At 39.0% G+C, this 21,872-nt stretch overlaps 1 protein-coding gene across 45 annotated transcripts in view; it reads left to right on the forward strand.

Annotated features, from left to right (window-relative positions):
• Positions 1-21,872, forward strand: part of DTNA (dystrobrevin alpha) — a 398,533-nt gene that overhangs the window by 177,052 nt on the left and 199,609 nt on the right. For 42 of the 45 annotated variants that reach the window (XM_047437326.1, XM_047437322.1, NM_032975.4 and 39 more), the window contains one exon: positions 9,105-9,229. The gene's annotated coding sequence lies outside the window, so the exon portion shown is untranslated. Of the gene's footprint in view, positions 1-9,104; positions 9,230-13,118; positions 13,332-21,872 lie in introns of all 45 variants that reach the window. The other 3 variants (XM_047437323.1, XM_047437332.1, XM_047437339.1) reach the window with 1 other exon arrangement.

Below are 21,872 nucleotides of genomic sequence, written 5' to 3' on the forward strand. Positions count from 1 at the left end.
TGAACTTCCTCCTTTAGCTCGGAGAAGTTTGATCGTCTGAAGCCTTCTTCTCTCAACTTGTCAAAGTCATTCTCCGTCCAGCTTTGTTCCATTGCTGGTGAGGAGCTGCGTTCCTTTGGAGGAGGAGAGGTTCTCTGATTTTTAGAATTTTCCGTTTTTCTGTTCTGTTTTTTCCCCATCTTTGTGGTTTTATCTACCTTTGGTCTTTGATGATGGTGACATACAGATGGGGTTTTGGTGTGGATGTCCTTTCTGTTTGTTAGTTATCGTTTTAACAGTCAGGACCCTCAGCTGCAGGTCTGTTGGAGTTTGCTGGAGGTCCACTCCAGACCCTTTTGGCCTGGGTATCAGCATTGGAGGCTGCAGAACAGCGGATATTGCTGAATAGCAGATGTTGCTGTCTGATGGTTCCTCTGGAGGTTTTGTCTCAGAGGGGTACTCAGCCGTGTGAGGTGTCAGTCTGCCCCTACTGGGGGATGCCTCCCAGATAGGCTACTCGGGGGTCAGGGACCCACTTGAGGAGGCAGTCTGACCGTTCTCAGATCTCAAACTCTGTACTGGGAGAACCACTAGTCTCTTCAAAGCTGTCAGACAGGGACATTCAAGTCTGCAGAGGTTTCTGCTGCCTTTTGTTCGGCTATGCCCTTCCCCCAGAGGTGGAGTCTACAGAGGCAGGCAGGCCTCCTTGAGCTGTGGTGGGCTCCACCCAGTTCAAGCTTCCCAGCTGCAGCTTTGTTTACCTACTCAAGCCTCAGCAATGGCGGGCACCCCTCCCCCAGTCTCGCTGCCACCTTATAGTTGGATCTCAGACTGCTGTGCTAGCAATGAGTGAGGCTCCGTGGGTGGGGCGTGAGACCCTCCGAGCCATGCGCAGGATATAATCTCCTGGTGTGCCATTTGCTAAGACCATTGGAAAAGTGCAGTATTAGGATGGGAGTGAACCGATTTTCCAGGTGCTGTCTGTCACAGATTTGCTTGGCTGGGAAGGGGAATTCACTGACCCCTTGTGCTTCCCAGGTGAGGCAATGCCTCGCCCTGCTTTGGCTCACAACAAGCCCCAGTGAGATGAACCCGGTACCTCATTTGGAAATTCAGACATCACCTGTCTTCTGCATTGCTCACGCTGGGAGCTGTAGACTGGAGCTGTTCCTATTTGGCCATCTTCAAGAATGATGTTTAAAAATGTGGAATTGCATGTGCTCAGTACAAATTTAATTCAGAATATTTGTCAGAAGTACGGTACTCTGCATGCAAACGTTTTCTCTCCTCTCCATTCACCCTGCTTTTCATGTTACTAATGTAACTGATAGAGTTCCTACAAAATCTTTTTTTATTTTGCCTTTTTGTTCTATATCTAGTTTTATAAGGTTTTATCCTTTCTTCCTTTATTTCTTCATTCCTTCCTTCTTTTCTAATTGAACTTTACATCATAGTATCAACAGACACAGTTATACCAGATCACACTGTATCAGTCTCTTAGAAGTGTGCAGTGGGCTTCTCTAACAAATGAATGCATGGAAATTATGAGCAAAATCATGATCACATAGTATCAGAGAGATTTCAATACACTCTATGGTATACCTGCTTGTAGGTAACTACAAATATGGCTTTTTAAAAGCTAGTTAGACTAACCTTTGACACATTTTTACTTAACCTGCAAAATTCAATTTAATTCTTTTTTTGGCCAATTTGGTGGGTATAATGAGATGCAGGAGACAAAAGACTGCACTTGGGTAAACATTGTTTTCTTGTCCTGATCAGCAAAAATACGTGAATCTTTCTGCCTTACTTGGAATTAATTTCAACATGGAGAACATAAAGCTTTAATGAGATTCATCACTGTGGGGTGGCATTTATCTATACTTAGTTTTAGTTTCATATTGCCCTACTTATATTCATAAAAGGAGATTTTCATCTAAGAAAACCTGAGATACTTAGGTTTAGTGATTATTTGTGTAGGTAAATACACAATGAGACTCACTGGTTTCTCAACTGTATTTTTTAAAAAGATACAAAATGAGATAATCACTCCCTTTAAAAGTGTATTCTAAGAAAGTGACTCCTATTTTTCTGATATTTTGGGATACCTGAATTTTGTACAGTAGCGATTTCTATAACAAAATAAACCTTAATATAAAAATAAAATAGTGACTTACTGCTTTACCTTGAAATGCAGCTGACATGTGTTCTGTGTGAATGTGTGTATAAAGTACGTGAATAAAGGAGCGTTCAGCCACTACTGATGTCTCATATCTTCATATGTATCATATCCCTTAGTGAGCAAGTTGAATAAAAATAATTTCATAGCCATAAACAGAGGAAGTATTCATGCTGAATATGTATAGATTGCTAATAATAGGACAAAAAAGTTTCAAATATTAAAACAAAATTATATATAGTTTACAGTTCTTCAACTACTTCCTTAAAAATTATATGGTATGTATATATATGCACAAACATATGTCTGTGTGTGTGTATAACTGGAAGTAAATGTATAAAATCTTCATAGGGATTTCCTGTGGGGTGGAATGTGGGTGATACTAATTTTCTTCACAATTTATTATATTTTCCACATTTCCTAAAAGGAGAGTTACTTTGATCAAAACACACACACACACATACCCGCAGTTTAAAAACTCCATGTTTCTTCTTGTCTCTTGATCTATTTTTAATAAAACTTGATTTTTAATAAGTATTACCATGTAAGCCAATTATTTTTACATTTTATTTGTTTGTTTTTTGAGAGAGGATCTCACTCTGTCACTCAGGCTGAAATGCAGTGGCACAATCTTGGCTCACTGTAACCTCCGCCTGCTGGGCTCAGGTGATCTCCCACCTCAGCCTCCCAAGCAGCAGGGACCACAGGTACACACCACCACGCCCAGCTATTTTTTGTATTATTAGTATTATTATTATTATTTTTTCTCTATACAATTTCTGAGATACTTACGTAAACTTAATCACTGGGGTTTTGTCATGTTGCCCAGGCTGGTCCCGAACTCCTGGGTTCAAGGGATCTGCTTGCCTTGGCCTCCGAAAGTGCTGGGATTACAGGCATGAGCCACCTTACCTTTTAAAAATGCAAGTATCATCTCGATAAGCAACTGTCTTAACCTTACAATAAAATGCAACAGAAAGATACGCAGAGCCAGTCCTTCAGAAAAAAAAAAAAAATGCTGTGCAAGAAACAGCTGATAAATCCTTTTTAAACCACCTTCATTTTTCTCAGCACCTTTAAAACAGTTGACTGGATACCCAACTGAACTGATATTGACAGGCAGGCCATCATATTATTTCTTAAGTGTTCCTGAATGTCAGCAGGTCTTCGGCTTTGTGGCGTGAAAAATTCTACATTCATTGCTGAAGGTATATATTTTTTTCCTGTTGACAGCTATTTTGTCCAAATATTGTTCTCTCTGCTTTATCTTACTTTAACCTAAGTGATAAGGTACAACTTTTTATCCACTTCTATTGACGAAATATCAAGAATAAAACCGAATTCTCTGCTACTATCTTATACTTCTCAAATATCTTCTTGCTGTCTTGTTAAATTTTATCAGAGATAAGTATTAAAGTAGGCAACTGAAAAGTGAGGCACAGCAGTGGCCTATATGGATACCCAGAATTGTGAAGTACACACATGTTTCTGCAATCACTGGGCTGTGATTTGATGGAAATGAATTATAGATGCACAACCCCTTCTGAGATTAGATTAATTTCCCTGATTATTAGTCCAAAGATTTAAAAACTTCACAGAAATGAGGTTGCCGCCCAGCTTAGGAGCTGATGCAGCCAGTCTCAAAGGCACTTTCCTTGGGGCCCAGAATCCCTAATGGGAGAGGCCTGCCTGACTGTGTGATCTTGCCCTTCCGCAAAGGTGCCACACTGGATGTGAACAACTAAACTGTCACAGCCACAGCCCCTTTATCCTAGGGGCTTGAAGAAATAAGCTATGCCCTTAATAGGAAGTAAAGACATCCAAGACCTTCCTGCCTCTCATACTGTGCTGTGTGTCAACAAAAATAAGTCCTTAAAATAGAGAGGATGCCTAAGCATCCAATAGCACTAATTCTGTTTCCAGCTTTTAAGTGTCCAAAAAGGCCCATTTGCCAGCCATCCTCTCCCTGACTCTGACTTAATTAATATGCTTGTGTCTGGGGTGATTCTGGGTTTAGTCCAAGGGCCATGATTCCAAATCCATTTTACTACAACTTTCTAAGCCACTTTGACGTTCTTAGGCTGATAACTAATAATCTGGTGAAATTATTTGAATAAGTTTATACTGCCACTCTGTACAGGAACCAGATGTGAAAACATGAGCTTTGTGTTTGCTAACTGTTCCACTATCAATCATTTATTCAAACAAGCATTTAGTGATGATTGCTATTCATCATTAAAGATTATGTACTAGAGATGATGAAGAAACAAGCAATAAGTCCCTGCCCAGAGTTGCACGTATTCTTATAAAGGGATAAGAAAATTCATGGTAATTTTAAATGATAACAGGTGCTGCAATGAAAGACCTCCAAGAGTGGTGTGGCAGCACTAAGGACTGGAATACAGAGAGGGTCTAAGAGCACAGCTGGGAGGGGCAGGAAGGAATTCACGTGGTATATAGAGTTGGAGGAAGCTTCAAAAGGGAAGTTAGACTTACCTTGTTCAACTTCAGAGGTCTGGATGGGACCTGTGGTAAAATTACATAATAGAATTAGGACTCAAAGGAACTCGGACCACCTACCAGGGTTCCTCAACCTGGGTACTATCAACATTTTGGACTATTCATTATTTGGCTGGGGGTTGGGGGGCAGTAGTCCTATGAATTTTCAGATGTTCAGCAGTATCCTGACCTGTACCTACTAGATGCCAGTTGCACGTACCCACCCTGCACAACCAAAAATGTCTCCAAACATTGTCATATGTCCCCTGGGGGCAAAATCACCCTGATTGAGAACCACTGGACAAAAGTCATACCCTCAAAAGAAGTCCTGGAGAGCACCTTTTTATTCCTCCTTTTAATATTTAGGCTACCCGTTCTTGAATAATAATGAAAGTAGCTAAAATTTCTGCTTGGATTCCTTATATTTTTAGGGTGAATAAAATAATCATGAATTCTTCAGATTGTGATGATGAAATTATTTTTAATATGGTGCAAGTTCACAAGGGTAAGAGAAAGGAAATTGAACCAAATATTTATAAGAAAAAGAAGACAAATTTTAAAATAAGAAAATGTAATAGGATTTTTCTTTTACTACATTCTTGCTAGTTAATCTTGTATTTCACCCTACCTTGTTTATTCTAAGGTATGTATAAATAAAATCATCATCTAGAAGCTTTAATCTGACTTGCAAATATTTGTGTGAAAGAAAAATCCAAACTTCTTAGATTTAAATTTGATGGCAACCAAAAATATACATTCATTCATACATCTGTTTGTTCGTGCAATAAATATTACTGCAGGCATACTATGTGCCAGCCACCATTCTAAGCATCAGGTGCACAACAATGAAAAAAGTTCCTGCCTTTGTGGAGCTATATTCTGGTGTGAAGAGACAATGAATAAATAATACATCAGGTAGTGGCAGTACAGGGGAATATATCAAAATAAACAATAGAGAGTGAGTACAGAGTGCTATTTATGGTAGAAACATCAGTCCGAGCATAAATAGGAATAATAACACGAATGTTAACTCTTCTCCAGTCTAATATTTGTCTAGGTCCCACAGAATCTGGGCTGAGAGGACCACATATCCCAATTTGTAATAAACGTGTATGCTTTACCAAATCCTACCACTACAAATGATTATTGAGCCTCTGTTTAAATTGATATCATTGGTATGAAGGTCACTACCTTTTTAGGTGGCCCATTCTGTTTTTGTGTCCTCCAATTTGAGGGGGTCCTCTTATTAAGCAAAAATGTGACTCCTGCAACTTCCATCTAACCTACATGCCTAAAATGCAGCACCCAAAATGAATGAAATACTTCTTTCTTTTATGGTACTCTGTGGTAAGACACTGGTTCCTAGCTCCAATCCAGACCCTGGATGAAAGCTTTTCTGGGAGCTTAGTAAAGAATACAGTATTTTTATTTTATACCATGACACTAAATTTTAATTTCTAGTCACAAGTTAGCCAACCTAGAATTTACGTTAGCTGACCTGTAATTTAAGTAAGAACTTAAAGAGAGAAGGGGCCAGGCACGGTGGTTCAATGCCTGTAATCCCAGCATGTTGGGAGGCTGAGGCAGGCGGATTGTTTGAGCTCAGATGTTCGAGACCAGCCTGGGCAACATAGCAAAATCTCATCTCTACAAAACATACAAAAATTAGCTGAGCGTGGTGCTGAGCACCTGTAGTCCCAGCTACTCAGGAGGTTGAGATGGGAAGATTGCTTGAGCCTGGGGAGCTTGAGGCTGCAGTGAGCCACGATCATGCCACTGCACTCAGTATGGGTGAGAGAGCAAGACCTTGTCTCAAAGAGAGAGGGAGAGAATGGAGAAAGGTATAATTTGTATTCCCACCCAATGTTCATGTGACAATTTTGCTTTCCAAGTGTCCAGTAGGCTGCAGGAAGAGTATAGTAGGATTGATGCCTTTAATTCACTAGCAGCTTGGGAAGCTGCCACCCTCAGGTGAAAGAAAGAGTAGAAAGAATTGAGGGTATTCAGCTCTGCATACTCTGGAGTTGCCATGCAGGATAGAAGCCAAGAATGGTAGGGATGGATCTGCCTCCAGATTAGACAACTAACTTCTTTTAATCACTATCTGTGATATATGGGGTGAAGTGGGGCCACTTCTTAGTAGAAAAGGAACAGCAGAATTTAAAGCTGCCTTGTGATCCGTAGACCACCCAAGGTGTAAATTTTATTAGTCATAGATCCTGGTCAAGATGTCAACCTGGACCACCCATGGGGTTCTTTAACACAGTGTCTCCATCTGAGCATTGTTTAGGCTCCCTCCAAATCTATTGCAGTCTGGAGTAACCCATTGGATCTGGACAAAAAAAAAGAAATATGCAAGTCATCCTTCCCAAAATTGTCAGGTACAGGAACAACAACCAGCAGCCAAATCCTAAGAGGTCCCTAGGACAATACCAAGTGATTTCTCGAGTGATTCTACATTGCCAGATAGAGCTGGATATAAGTTTATCTCACTTTATTATATACATAGATATAGCCTAAGGTGAAAATATAATACTTTAGATTATATGCGATTTTCATTTATTTCCAGGTGCTGTGGCTTAGAGAGCTGTGTTCATGAGGAGAAATATTTTAATATATAATTTATTCTCAGATACATAGGTCTAATCTACTCCGACTCCAATTTTTTTTTAAAAAAGCATGTACTTTAAGAAACAAAAAATATCTGAAAGTACTACTGTTGTAATAATACATTTAATTCAAAGAATGTCAAACAGAAGATGTATATGCCTAGAATCATAGCACAGGGAAAGACTGTTGGGTCTGAATGTCACAGAACAGTGGTTAATTGTGTAGTGAAAGTCTCTTTATATCCTATTAAATTGTATTAGGTCATTCTCACTCTACTATAAAGAACTGCCCATGACTGGGTAATTTATAAAGGAAAGAAGTATAATTGACTCAGTTCCAGATGGCTGGTGAGGCCTCAGGAAACTTACAGTCGTGGTGAAAGTGGAAGCAAACACATCCTTCTTCATGTAGCAGCAGGAGAGAGAAGTGCCGAGCAAAGGGGGAAAAGCCCCTATACTATCACAAGAACAGCATGGGGATAACAGCCCCCATGAGTCAATTATCTCCTATTGGGCCCCTCCTGTGATATGTGGGGATTATGAGAACTACAAGTCAAGGCGGGGACACAGCAAACCCGTATCATAAATAAACCTCACGTAATGAACATGTCTGAGAACTTAGATAAGAGGAAGGGGAAGATTTTGTTATAGAATTTTCTTTAGTACCTCAAATCATAGGAAGCCTGAACCCAGTCATGAAAGCTGAAATAATTATTGTGTTCATTTTAGATAACCTGGGTTGGGAGAGGAAAGCATGGGGTGGGAGTCAGAAGCAGAAGGCACCCATCACCCAGCAAAGGTGCAGAGCTGGGTTCCTTCCATCCCTTCCCTTTCCACCCCCACTGCCACCAGATGCCTTGTCCCTTTTACTTTACTGTGTCCCTCCTCCCCACACTTTTCCTTCATCTTAACATGAGATTTCCTAAGCTTCAAATTTTTGCTGCTTCAAGCCATCTGGCACCTGGGATAGTAACACGCAGCCTGTGTGTTCACAGGGAGAAGCAAGGAAGAAAGGGTGAGGAGGAAGAGAACACTGGGGAGGACTGGCTGAGGGGAGATGATGAGTGGAGTGCCTGGGTCACTCCCAGCCATAGGGTCAGGGATCTTGGGCATTGGGGCGGGCAGTCTAGAGCTTGTCTCTTTCAGTTCTCATTTAGAAATTTTCTCAGAAGGCAAAAGCTTATAAAACCATTCAGCTTAGTTAAGAAAAATTAACAGCCAATCTTATGAAATATTTACAATTTATGTTATTACTACACAACATAATTATATGGATTATTAAGTAACATTAGGTTGCCTTTGTAGTCCACCTTGTTGTAGTCCACTCTTACAGGGTATCTACTAATGACTGCTCAAGCTCAATCCATCAGAGGAAATGTTAGTCTGAGGACTCTGATCTTAGCAATACTTTACTTGGCTTCAGTAAAAATTATGTCAATAAAATATCCCAGAAAACTATCTACTTGGAAAACAAAGAAGATTCCATGTTTTTCCATTTCTGGTTTTTCAGTCAACTAAATCCATAGAGCTATATCAGGAACCCAATGTTCCAGGCAACTATCATTAACCAGCTTTTAAATCTTGGATGATCACTTAATCCCTCTGGAACTCACTGTCCTCATCTGTGAAATGACTTCTACCATAAATGTCTGTTATTATAAATATTTCTTATACTAAATGAAAAGCAAGGTTCTAAATTGCATACGTTATTAATAGAGGATAAGGGGATTTATAAAATAACGTATGTTCTAGATCTGCCAATTCTGGCTTCCTGTTTGTGTAATAAATACAGAAGTGTGAATTGCTTAGCTAAATAAAAGTCTACTTTCTCGTTGCAGATAAATAGGATTTACCAATCCTTGGATGAAGTGCTTGGGAAGTCTTTAAGTGCCATAATCAACTGCCATTTCAAAGAATATAGATGGTTTTGAAAAGTTCATGCTGTCCCTTCATTGAATTTTAGGTGAGTGTGTTTAAGACAAAGAACTTAAGATGAATATTGAACTGTTTCTCTTTAGAGTGCTCCTCTCATTTGCCTGAAAAGAAAATGGGTTTAAATATTATCAATGCTGAGGTGGAGCAAGATGGCTAAATAAATATTATCAATGCCTTTCAGTTTCGTACCTTTAGTGAGGTTCCAGACAATGAAAGACTTACCGTCTTTTTGTTTATTTATTGTTATTATTATTATTATCAGAAACCATCTGAACTGTGAGCTATATAACATAAAGATTGTCTTGACCGTCACTTCCCAGTTTCTATTAAGCAAATGCCATAATACTTCATTCTATTCTAAAGGTTATATAATTTGTAAAATATAAAATGTATTTAATATCAGTGTAATAAACCAGAATGAGACAAAATTTTTGATGGCATAAACTGAAGGAAAATTTGATGGTGATAATAGTGGCTTAATCACTAATGAATCTGTGTTTGAGATCGGGATAACGTTTTAGATGCGCTTATTGGGAGGTTTTGCTTAGAATTAAAAGTAGGGCATGGTTAAGGGCAGGTGTGCTAAATTTTTAAAGTGCTATGTACAGTTAAACACAACACACACACACACTCACATTAAGCTTTGTTTTGTCTGGCCATGAAATGAATGAATAAATATATTTTACATCATCATATGTCATCACCCTTCCATGTCAGAAAAGAGAAGAGCCTAAAATTGGTGGTTTAATATTAGTCTGATATATGCCATTGCCATTTTTCAGCAGAATAGAGGGGAATGGAGAAAGTGAGTGGTGGTCATATTGAGGATATTGTGTGGCTTTCCACCTCCTCCTAAGTCTAGTTTTCAAAGTGTGGCTTTATTATGTACTTTGAAGAAAGGTGATCTTCAGAACACCAGCATATACCTATGTTTACAATTCCAATAAAATAATGCAGCTGACAGAGCATTGGCCACTGTCTAAATCTAATCTGAAAGGCAGAGATGCTTCCTTAATACTTTTGATTAACTTCAAAATGATGGCAAATAATGCTTTCATAAACTTACAGGTGTATAAATTTGGTTTATAGAGATTGGATTTAGAACTAAAATGGTAATTCTATTTATTTACAAGATGTGTGTTGAATGCAGTTCCCAGAAGCTAAACTTGGTGCCCATCAAAAATACCAGTAAATCAATTTGCCTAGTGTAACAGTTACTCTAGAAGAAAAAAATGAAAATGAAAAACTTATTTTCTGAATCCTTTATTTTCCACTTGTGCCCATCTGTGCCTGTTACCTTCAGGGCCATTCCTTGCCCTGCCCTGCCTCTCTTTATTCCACAGGGACTGACCCTATGGGCTGTATTTTCCAGCCAGAGCCTCTCCTCCCCTCCTACATGTTACCTCCAGCTTCTTCCAGTGACCTGAACCCTGAACCTCATTAACACTACCTCTTCCCTTTTGTCCCTTGAGAATCATGAGTGATAGTGCCTTTGGCTTCCTGAGGCTGCTGATCTTCAATTTGATCCACCATTCCCAATTTAGCTTCTCAATTCTTTCATCTTTGTAACCATTTCCTTGTATTAAAGTTCATCATTTTAAATACTTAGAATGTTTTCTTTTATCTTGATTGAATCGTAACTAATCTATCAATACTTCATTAATTTCTTCCAAAATTATTGGAAGAAAATGAACATGGATTACTTGCTTCTTAAGAAAACAAGTGATTCCTAAGAAATTAAATTTAAATGTAAAGTTGGGCAGGGTGTTTTTTACTTTTAAAATACTTTATACTAAGACATTGAGATATAATATACATACAAAGAGGTCACAAGTAAGTGTATATCTCAATGAATTTTCACAAAGTGTATACTTCCCATCAGATCAAGAAGTAGATTACCAATGCCCCCAGAAGTCCTGCTCACGTGAGCTTCCAGTCATTCCTCCCACAGAGGAAACCATCATCATGGCTTATGTGACAATTAACTAATTTTGCCTATTCTAGAACTTTATCTAATGGAATCATGCAGTGTGTCATTTATTTATTAATTTAGTAAAATTTATTTGAGAGCAATTTAGGTCACCCAAAAATTGAGTAGAAAGTACAGTTTTTATATATCCCCCTATACACAACACACACACACACACACACACACACACACACACACCCCACACACACACACCCTATGGACATCCTCCACCAGAATGGTATATTTGTGACTATCAATGAACCTACATTAACCCATCATCACCTGAAGTCCACAGTTTACATTAGGGTACATTCTTGGTGTTGTGCATTCTATGGGCTTTGACAAATGCATAAATGACATGTATCCACCACTGTGGTGTCATACAGAATAGTTTCACTGCCCTAACAATCCTCTGTGCTCTTGCCTATTCATCCCTCCCCTGCACCTCACCCCTCATCTTTTTACTGGCTCCATAGCTTTACCTTTTCTGAGATGTCATATAGTTGAAATCATACAGTGTGTAGCCTTTTCAGGTTGGCCTCTTTCACTCAGTAATATGCATTTAAGTCTCCTTCATGGCTTTTCATGGCTTGATAGTTCATTTTGTTTTAGTGTTGAATAATATTCCACTGCCTGGATGTACCACATTTAATTTATCTATTAACCTATTGGAGGACATTTTTGTTGCTTCCATGTTTTGGAAATTATGAATAAAGCTGCTATAAACATCATATGTAGGTTTTTGTGTGGACACAAATTTTCAACTCATTTAGGTAAATATTTTAGGTTGGTGCAAAAGTAATTGCGGTTTTGCCATTACTTTTTGATTTAATTACTTTTGCACCAACCTAATACCAAGGAGTGTAATTGCTGAATCATAGGATAAAAATATGTTTAGTTTTGTAAGAAACTGCCAAACTGTCTTCCAAGTTAATTGTATCATTTTGCATTTCCACCAGCAACAAATAAGTGTCCTGTTGCTCCATATCCTCTCCAGCATTTGATGTCAGTGTTTTAGAATTTGGTCATTCTAATAGGTGTATACTTCTGATTTTAATGAGCAGTTCCCTAATGATGTTGAACATCTTTTCATATGGTTACTTTCTAACTTTGTATCTTCTTTGGTGAGGTGTCTGTTCCGATCTTTGGCCCATTTTTTAATTGGGTTGTTTTCTTATTGTTGAGTGTTAAAAGTTCTTTGTATATTATGGCTAATAATCCTTTATCACATGTGTCTTTTGAAAATAATTTCTCTTATTTCTGTCTTCGCTTGTCATTCTCTTCAAGGTTTGTTTTTTTAAAAACTGAAAAAAAATTAAACTTAATATATTTAAAGCCATATCCTCAGCTATACAATATTGTAACATTAATTTGTTGCTGTTAACACAATCATTGTCAAGTTTCCCATTTTGCATATCAAATTAATGGGAAGATTTTTAAATTTTCAGGTATATCCCAAGTATTATTTTTATTTTTAAAATATCCACATTTCACAAACTTTACTATGTACAGTATAAGAACTTCTTAGTCTCATTCCAATTTAAATCAGTCTCATTCCAACATTCACATTTAAATCTAAAGCTTCTGATTTACTTTATTTTGGTTCTTTTCACCTGCAGTTGAGAGATCTGACCTCTCTCTTTTAGTAATGGTTGTTTGCTACTTGAAGATGCCTTATGATCTGAACATTTCAAATGTCCTGTAATAAATACTGGTTGTATTGGAAAGCAATGTGATCAGGATCCCAGTGTCTGTCTTTCTTGATAACTAATCAATTCACTCTGTCTCAACAATTCCATTCATTCTAAAGAGATTCCTTGGTATTAAAGTCGCTTTTCACTTAATCATTTTGGTACTTCACTTAGTTATTTTAAATGGAAGGGCCTTGCTATTTTCATTTCCTTCTCATTTATTTATGTAGTCATGTTCCTTTTCAATCTTTTCTCAGAGGTCATCTCAACTGCTCATCTGTCCATTTTAATGTACTGTGGTTGGACTCTGAAGGACATGATGTTCCTTCTACCAACAATTTTCATCTATTCAACCAATGTCAATGTTGAACCTGCAATGCCTAATTTAGAATCCTTTCAGACAATGCGCAAATGCCATCATGAACAGAATTTCTAAAACTCCTTCATCATCCTAAAGCTGGGAGACACAGGTATGAGGAGCTTTATGATACAGTTTAAGACAATGAATAACTTATGTTGCCAGTACAAGTCTTCCCCTTATTTGATACAGCTCTAAAAATTCTAATCATTAACATTTTTCTCCAGCTTTTGGAAATAGGATTTTATAAAATTATAATTTAAAAAAATACCCTTGGGAAGAAAAATGCACCCATTAATTATATATACTACATAATATGTAAATCTAATGAATTAGCAAGGAAGAGACCCCTGAAACAATGGTACAAACATTCAGCATTGGAAGTTGGGGTACACATATGTGGGAAATGATCTCACCAACTTTATGATGTTGCCTGTAGGGTCAAGGGAAACACCTGACATCAAAGATAACTCAGGCTGAACAGATCTTAATGTCACGTTGGGAGAGAGGGATGGGAAGAGTGGAGGTATTAGTCATTACAATAATGAACAACATTGTGATGGGAGATTTTTATGTATATATATACTTTAGGTTCTGGGATACATATGCAGAACGTGCAAGTTTGCTACACAGGCATACAGGTACCATGGTGCTTTGCTGCACCCATCAACCCGTCATCTACATTAGGTATTTCTCCTAATGCTATCCCTCCCCTTGCCCCCCATCCCGCAACAAGCCCTGGTGTGTGATGTTCCCCTCCCTGTGCCCATATGTTCTCATTGTTCAACTCTCACTTATGAGTGAGAACATGTGGTCTTTGGTTTTCTGTTCCTGTGTTAGTTTCCTGAGAATGATGGTTTCCAGCTTCATCCATATTCCTGTAAAGGACATGAACTCGTTCTTTTTTTGGCTACATATTATTCCATGGTGTATTTGTGTCACATTTTCTTTATCCAGTCTAACATTTATGGGCATTTGGGTTGGTTCCAAGTCTTTGCTTTTGTGAATAGTGCTGCAATAAACATACATGTGCATGTGTCTTTATAGTAGAATGACTTATAATCCTTTGGGTATATACCCAGTAATACGATTGCTAGGTCAAATGGTATTTCTGGTTCTAGCTCCTTGAGGAATCACCACACTGTCTTCCACAATGGTTGAACTAATTTACACTCCCACCAATAGTGTAAAAGCATTCCTATTTCTCCACATCCTCTCCAGCATCGGTTGTTTCCTGACTTTTCAATGATCGCCGTTCTAACTGGCATGAGATGGTATCTCATTGTGGTTTTGATTTGCATTTCTCTAATGACCAGTGATGATGAGCTTCTTTTCATATGTTTTTTGGCCGCATAAATGTCTTCTTTTGAAAAATGTCTGTTCATATCACTTGCCCACTTTTTGATGGGGTTGCTTTTTTCTTGTAAATTTGTTTAAGTTCCTTGTAGATTCTGGATATTAGCCCTTTGTCAGATGGATAGATTGCAAAAATTTTCTCCCATTCTGTAGGTTGCCTGTTCACTCTGCTGATAGTTTCTTTTACTGTGCAGAAGCTCTTTAATTAGATCCCATTTGTGAATTTTGGCTTTTGTTGCCATTGCTTTTGGTGTTTTAGTCATGAAGTCTTTGCCCATGCCTATGTCCTAAATGGTTTTGCCTGATTTTCTTCTTGGGTTTTTATGATTTTAGGTCTTACATTTAAGTCTTTAATCCATCTTGAGTTAATTTTTGTATGAGGTGTAAGGAAAGGGTCCAGTTTCAGCTTTCTGCATATGGCTAGCCAGTTTTCCCAACACCATTTATTAAATAGGGAATGTTTTCCCCATTGCTTGTTTGTGTCAGGTTTGTCAAAGATCAGATGGTTGTAGATGTGTGGCGTTATTTCTGAGGGCTCTGTTCTGTTCCATTGGTCTATATATCTGTGTTGGTACCAGTACCATGCTGTCTTGGTTACTGTAGCCTTGTAGTATAGTTTAAGTTAGGTACTGTGATACCTCCAGCTTTGTTCTTTTGGCTTAGGATTGTCTTGGCTATACAGGCTCTTTTTTGTTTCCATATGAAACTGAAAGTAGTTTTTTCTAATTCTGTGAAGAAAATCAATGGTAGCTTGATGGGAATGGCATTGAATCTGTAAATTACTTTGGGCAGTATGGCCATTTTCACAATATTGATTCTTCCTATCCATGAGCATGGAATGTTTTTCCATTTGTTTGTGTCACCTCTTCTTTCCTTGAGCAGTGGTTTGTAGTTCTCCTTGAAGAGGTCTTTCACATCCCTTGTAAGTTGTATTCTTAGGTATTTTATTCTCTTTGTAGCAATTGTGAATGGGAGTTTGCTCATGATTTGGCTCTCTGTTTGTCTATTACTGGTGTATAGGAATGCTTGTGAATTTTGCACATTGGTTTTGTATCCTGACACTTTGCTGAATTTGCTTATCAGCTTAATGAAGTTTTGGGCTGAGATGATGGGGTTTCCTAAATATACAATCATGTCATCTGCAAACAAAGATAATTTGACTTCCTGTCTTCCTATTTGAATACCCTTCATTTCTTTCTCTTGCCTGATTGCCCTGGCCAGGACTTCCAATACTGTGTTGAATAGGAGTGGTGAGAGAGGGCATCCTTGTCTTGTGCTGGTTTTCAAAGGGAATGCTTCTGGCTTTTGCCCATTCAGTATGATTTTGGCTGTGGATTTGTCATAAATAGCTCTTATTATTTTGAGATATGTTCCATCAATACCTAGTTTATTGAGTGTTTTTAGCATGAAGGGGTGTTGAATTTTATTGAAGGCCTTTTCTGCATCTATTGAGATAATCATGTGGTTTTTGTCATTGGTTCTGTTTATGTGATGGACTACGTTTATTGATTTGTGTATGTTGAACCAGCCTTGCATCCCAGGATGAAGCCGACTTGATTGTGGTGGATAATCTTTTTGATATGCTGCTGGATTCAGTTTGCCAGTACGTTATTGAAGATTTTTGCATCAATGTTCATCAGGAATATTGGCCTGAAATTTTCTTTTTTTGTTGTGTCCCTGCCAGGTTTTGGTATCAGGATGATGCTGGCCTCATGAAATGAGTTAGGGTGGAGTCCCTCTTTTTCTTTTGTTTGGAATTGTTTCAGAAGGAATGGTACCAGCTCCTCTTTTTACCTCTGGTAGAATTTGGCTATGAATCCGTCTAGTCCTGGGTTTCTGTTGGTGGTGGTGGTGGTAGACTATTAATTACTGCCTCAAATTCAGAATTTGTTATTGGTCTGTTCAGGGATTCAACTTCTTGGTTTAGTCTCGGGAGGGTGTATGTGTCCAAGAATTTATCCATTTCTCCTAGATTTTCTAGTTTATTTGTGTAGAGGTGTTTATAGTATTCTCTGATTGTAGTTTGCATTTCTGTGGGATCAGTGGTGATCTCCCCTTTATCATTTTTATTGTGTCTATTTGATTCTTCTCTCTTTTCCTCTTTATTAGTCTGGTAGCCATCTATCTATTTTGTTAATCTTTTCAAAAAACCACCTCCTGGATTCGTTGATTTTTTGAAGGGTTTTTCATGTCTCTATCTCCTTCAGTTCTGTTCTGATCTTAGTTATTTCTTGTCTTCTGCTAACTTTTGAATTTGTTTGCTCTTGCTTCTCTAGTTCTTTTAATTGTGATGTTAAGGTGTCAATTTTAGCTCTTTCCTGCTTTCTCCTGTGGGCATTTAGTGCTATAAATTTCCCTCTAAACACTGTATAGCTGTGTCCCAGAGATTCTGGTACATTCTGTCTTTCTTCTCATTGGTTTCAAAGAACATCTTTATTTCTGTCTTAATTTTGTTATTTACCCAGTAGTCATTCAGGAGCAGGTTGTTCAGTTTCCATGTAGTTGTGCAGTTTTGAGTGAGTTTCTTAATCCTGAGTTCTAATTTGATTGCACTGTGGTCTGAGAGACTGTTTGTTATGATTTCCATTCTTTTGCATTTGTTGAGGAGTGTTTTGCTTCCAATTATGTGGTCAATTTTAGAATAAGTGCTATGTGGTGCTGAGAAGAATGTATATTCTGTTGATTTGGGGTGGAGAGTTCTGCAGATGTCTGTTAGATCTGCCTGGTCCAGAGCTGAGTTCAAGTTCTGAATATCCTTGTTAATCTTCTGTCTCATTGATCTAATATTGATAGTAGGGTGTTAAAGTCTCCCACTATTATTGTGTGGGAATATAGGTCTCTTTGTAAGTCTCTAAGAACTTTCTTTATGAATCTGGATGCTCCTGTATTGGGTGCATATATATTTAGGATACTTAGCTCTTCTTGTTGCATTGATCCCTTTAACATTATGTAATGCCCTTCTTTGTCTTTATTGATCTTTGTTGGTTTAAAGTCTGTTTTATCAGAGACGAGGATTGCAACTTCTGCTTTTTTTTTTCTTCTTTCTGTTTGCTTGATAAGTCTTCCTCCATCCCTTTATTTTGAGCTTATGTGTATCTTTGCACATGAGATGGGTCTCCTGAATATAGCACACTGATGGATCTTGACTCTTTATCCGATTTGCCAGTCTGTGCCTTTTCATTGGAGCATTTAGCCCATTTACATTTAAGGTTAATATTGTTATGTGTGAATTTGATCCTGTCATCATGATGCTAGCTGGTTATTTTGCCTATTAGTTGATGCAGTTTCTTCATAGTGTGGATGGTCTTTACAATTTGGTTTATTTTTGCAGTAGCTGGTACTGGTTTTTCCCTTGCATATTTAGTGCTTCCTTCAGGAGCTCTTGTAAGGCAGGCCTGATGGTGACAAAATCCCTTAGTATTTGCTTGTCTGTAAGGGATTTTATTTCTCCTTCACTTATGAAGCTTAGTTTGGCTAGATATGAAATTCTGGGTTGAAAATTCTTTTCTTTAAGAATGTCGAATATTGGCCCCCACTCTCTTCTGGCTTGTAGCGTTTCTGCTGAGAGATCCACTGTTAGTCTGATGGGCTTCCCTTTGTGGGTAACGCGACCTTTCTCTCTGGCTGCCCTTAACATTTTTTCCTTCATTTCAACCTTGGTGGATCTGACAATTATGTGTCTTGGGGTTGCTGTTCTTGAGGAGTATCTTTGTGGTGTTTTCTGTGTTTCCTGAATTTAAATGTTGGCCTGTCTTGCTAGGTTGAGGAAGTTCTCCTGAATAATATCCTGAAGTGTGTTTTCTAACTTAGTTCCATTCTCCCCATCACTTTCAGGTACACCAATCAAACGTAGATTTTGTCTTTTCACCTAGTACCATATTTCTTGGAGGCTTTGTTTGTTCCTTTTCATTCTTTTTTCTCTAATCTTGTCTTCATGCTTTATTTCATTAAGTTGATCTTCAGTCTCTGATATCCTTTATTCTGCTTGATCGATTCAGCTATTGATATTTGTATATGCTTCACAAAGTTCTGGTGCTGTGTTTTTCACCTCCATCAGGTCATTTATGTTCTTCTCTAAACTGGTTATTCTAGTTAGCAATTCCTCTAACCTTTTTTCAAGGTTCTTAGCTTCCTTGCATTGGGTTAGAACATGTTCCTTTACCTCAGAGGAGTTTGTTATTACCCACCTTCTGAAGCCTACTTCTGCCAATTCGTCAAACTCATTCTCCATCCAGTTTTGTTCCCTTGCTGGCGAGGAATTGTGATCCTTTGGAGAAGAGGCGTTCTGCTTTTTGGAATTTTCAGCCTTTTTGCACTGGTTTTTCTTCATCTTCATGGATTTATCTATTTTTGGTCTTTGTTGTTGGTGACCTTCAGATGGAGTTTTGGGTGGTCATTTTTTTGTTGTTGTTGATGTTGATGCTATTGCTTTCTGATTGTTTTCCTTCTAATAGTCAGGCCCCTCTGCTGCAGGTCTGCTGGAGTTTGCTGGAGGTCCACTCCAGACCCTGTTTTCCTGGGTATCACCAGTGAAGGCTGCAGAACAGCAGAGATTGCTGCCTGCTCCTTCCTCTGGAAGCTTCGTCCCAGAAGGGCACCTGCCAGATGCCAGCCAGAGCTATTCTGTATGAGGTATCTATCGAACCCTGCTGGGAGGTGTCTCCCCATCAGGAGGCATGGGTGTCAGGGACCCACTTGAGGAGGCAATCTGTCCCTTAGCAGAGCTCGAGTGCTGTGCTGGGAGATCCACTGCTCTCTGCAGAGCTGGCAGGCAGAAATGTTTAAGTTTGCTGAAGCTGCGCCCACAGCTGCCCCCTCCCCCAGGTGCTCTGTTCCAGGGAGATGGGAGTTTTATCTATAAGCCCCTGGCTGGGGCTACTGCCTTTCTTTCAGAGATGCCCTGCCCAGAGAGGATGAATCTAGAGAGGCAGTCTGGCTACAGTGGCTTTGAGGTGTTGTGGTGGGCCCCACCCAGTCTGAACTCCCAGTGGCTTTGTTTACACTGTGAGAGGAAAACCACCTACTCAAGCCTCAGTAATGGTGGAAGCCCCTCCCTCCACCAAACTTGAGAGTCACAGATCGACTTCAGACTGCTGTGCTGACAGCGAGAATTTCAAGCCAGTGGATCTTAGTTTGCTGGGTTTCTTTGGGGTGGGATCCGCTGAGCAAGACCACTTGGCTCTCTGGCTTCAGCCCCCTTCCCAGGGGAGTGAACGGCTCTGTCTCACTGGCTTTCCAGGCACCACTGGGGTACAAAAAGAAAACTCCTGCAGCTAGCTTGGTGTCTTCCCAAATGGCCGCCTCATTTTGTGCTTGAAACCCAGGGCCCTTGTGGCACAGGCACTCAAGAGCATCTCCTTGCAAAGACCATGGGAAAAGGGTAGTAACTTGGCAAGATAGCACCCTCCCTCATGGCAAGTTCCTCATGGCTTCCCTTGGCTAGGGGAGGGAGTTCCCTAACCTCTTGCGCTTCCCGGGTGAGGCAATGCCCCACCCTGCTTCGGCTGGCCCTCTGTGGGCTATACCCACTGTCTAACCAGTCCCATTGAGATGAACTGGGTACCTCAGTTGGAAATGCAGAAATCACCCACCTGTTGCGTTGGTCTCACTGGGAGCTGCAGACTGGAGCTGTTCCTATTCAGCCATCTTGCCACAATGGGAGATTTTAAATAACTTGTTCTCAAGTAATTCAGATAGGTGATTTTAATCATGATGTAATCTCAAGTACTTCTGTTGAACCACAGAGTATGTGAGAAAACCCAAATGTGTTTAAATGCAGAAATCATCTTTTATCCATCTTTGTATTCCTGGAAACTAACACAGTGCTTGGCACACTATTAATACTTTCTAAATAAATGGCTGGTGATTAAGGGCAAAGGCACAAAGCAATGCTGGCTAATGCTTACTGAGTTCTTATTTTATGCAAGAAATTGTTCTATATTCTCCCTTTCATGCCTAAACAACCCTATAACATAGGCACTATTTTTATCTCCTTTTTTAAGGATTAGGAAACTCGGGTTCACAGAAGTTAAATAACCTGCCCGAGGTTAAGTAGGTTGAAGGTGAAAATTCAAGTCCAGATAGTCTGGCTTCAGGGCCTGAGCTCCTAATTGTGATGCTCCACTGCCTCTTAGGTAAAATAATCACCAAGTAATTTTAAAACACAGGAGCAACATTTTGTATTACTTAAAAACATTCTGTCACGTCATATAGCACACCTATATTAACAGACCTGCCCAAATCATGAACACTCACTTTGAACAGAAATTACTTCTTTTCTGTATTCTTCCTCTCCTTTCCTTTTAAAACATGACCGACTAAACTAACTTTCTAACTTATGTTCAGATCTCATCATTTTCATTCTTCAGTGATTTGTTCTATCTCAAATATGCCATTGCTCCTTTTACAAGATTGCTTACGGATGTGTAATTTTGAGCAAGTTACTTAACCTCTCTGAGCGTCAGTTGACCAAGCTGAAAAGATAAGTCTATTTTACTTCAAGGACTAGGAAACAATACCTATAAAACAAAGCACAGTGGAGTTCCTGATGCATTGCATGTGTGAAACAAGCAGTTGAAAATATCATCCAAGTACTCTCATCCACTTTGGTTTCAAAGCCAGCATTGACTGCCCCATCAGAAGAAAATCTGTGTTCTGTATTCCTTAGCATGTCATAATACTGGTACAATGGACCTCTTGGGTCTCACTGCCTACCTTTGCTTCCCATCAGCTGATCTTTGCTAATATAGGGATATTTTGTCTTTCCTAAGCCATGCTCTTTGTTCCTTTACTTTTGCACATGCTGATTCTTCTGCCTAGACACTCCTCCCATCCACACCCCTCCCTAAATCCCCTTCATCTGCATGCACTCATGTACTCTTACATAACTTGCAATATGCTAGTCATCTTTCAATATCCAGCACAGCTGCTGCTGTTACCATTTCACTAAAGTCACTGATGAACTTCTCATGGATCATAGTTATGTGTCCTATCTTTGAATGCACATAGACTTTTGGGTTATTTGTAGGGTATCAGCACCTAATGTAGACAACAGAAAGAAAATCAACCTTCATTATCAATCACAGCACCATATCTTAGCTTCTCATGTTATTTCTCTTTTTCTTCTGAATTTTTCATCAGAGACAAATGCCAAGTCTCCTCCTCTTTGAAGTTCCTATACCAAGTTCAGAAGTAGTCTTCCTTTCTGGTTTTGAATGAACTAGGGAGGGTCATATTTTGAGATAAATTTGAGTTCCTTCAGTGTAGTTAAGATCCTAACACTTTATCCAGCCATTAG

This window comes from Homo sapiens, chromosome 18 (assembly GCF_000001405.40).
Source record: "Homo sapiens chromosome 18, GRCh38.p14 Primary Assembly".
Lineage (NCBI taxonomy): Eukaryota > Metazoa > Chordata > Mammalia > Primates > Hominidae > Homo > Homo sapiens.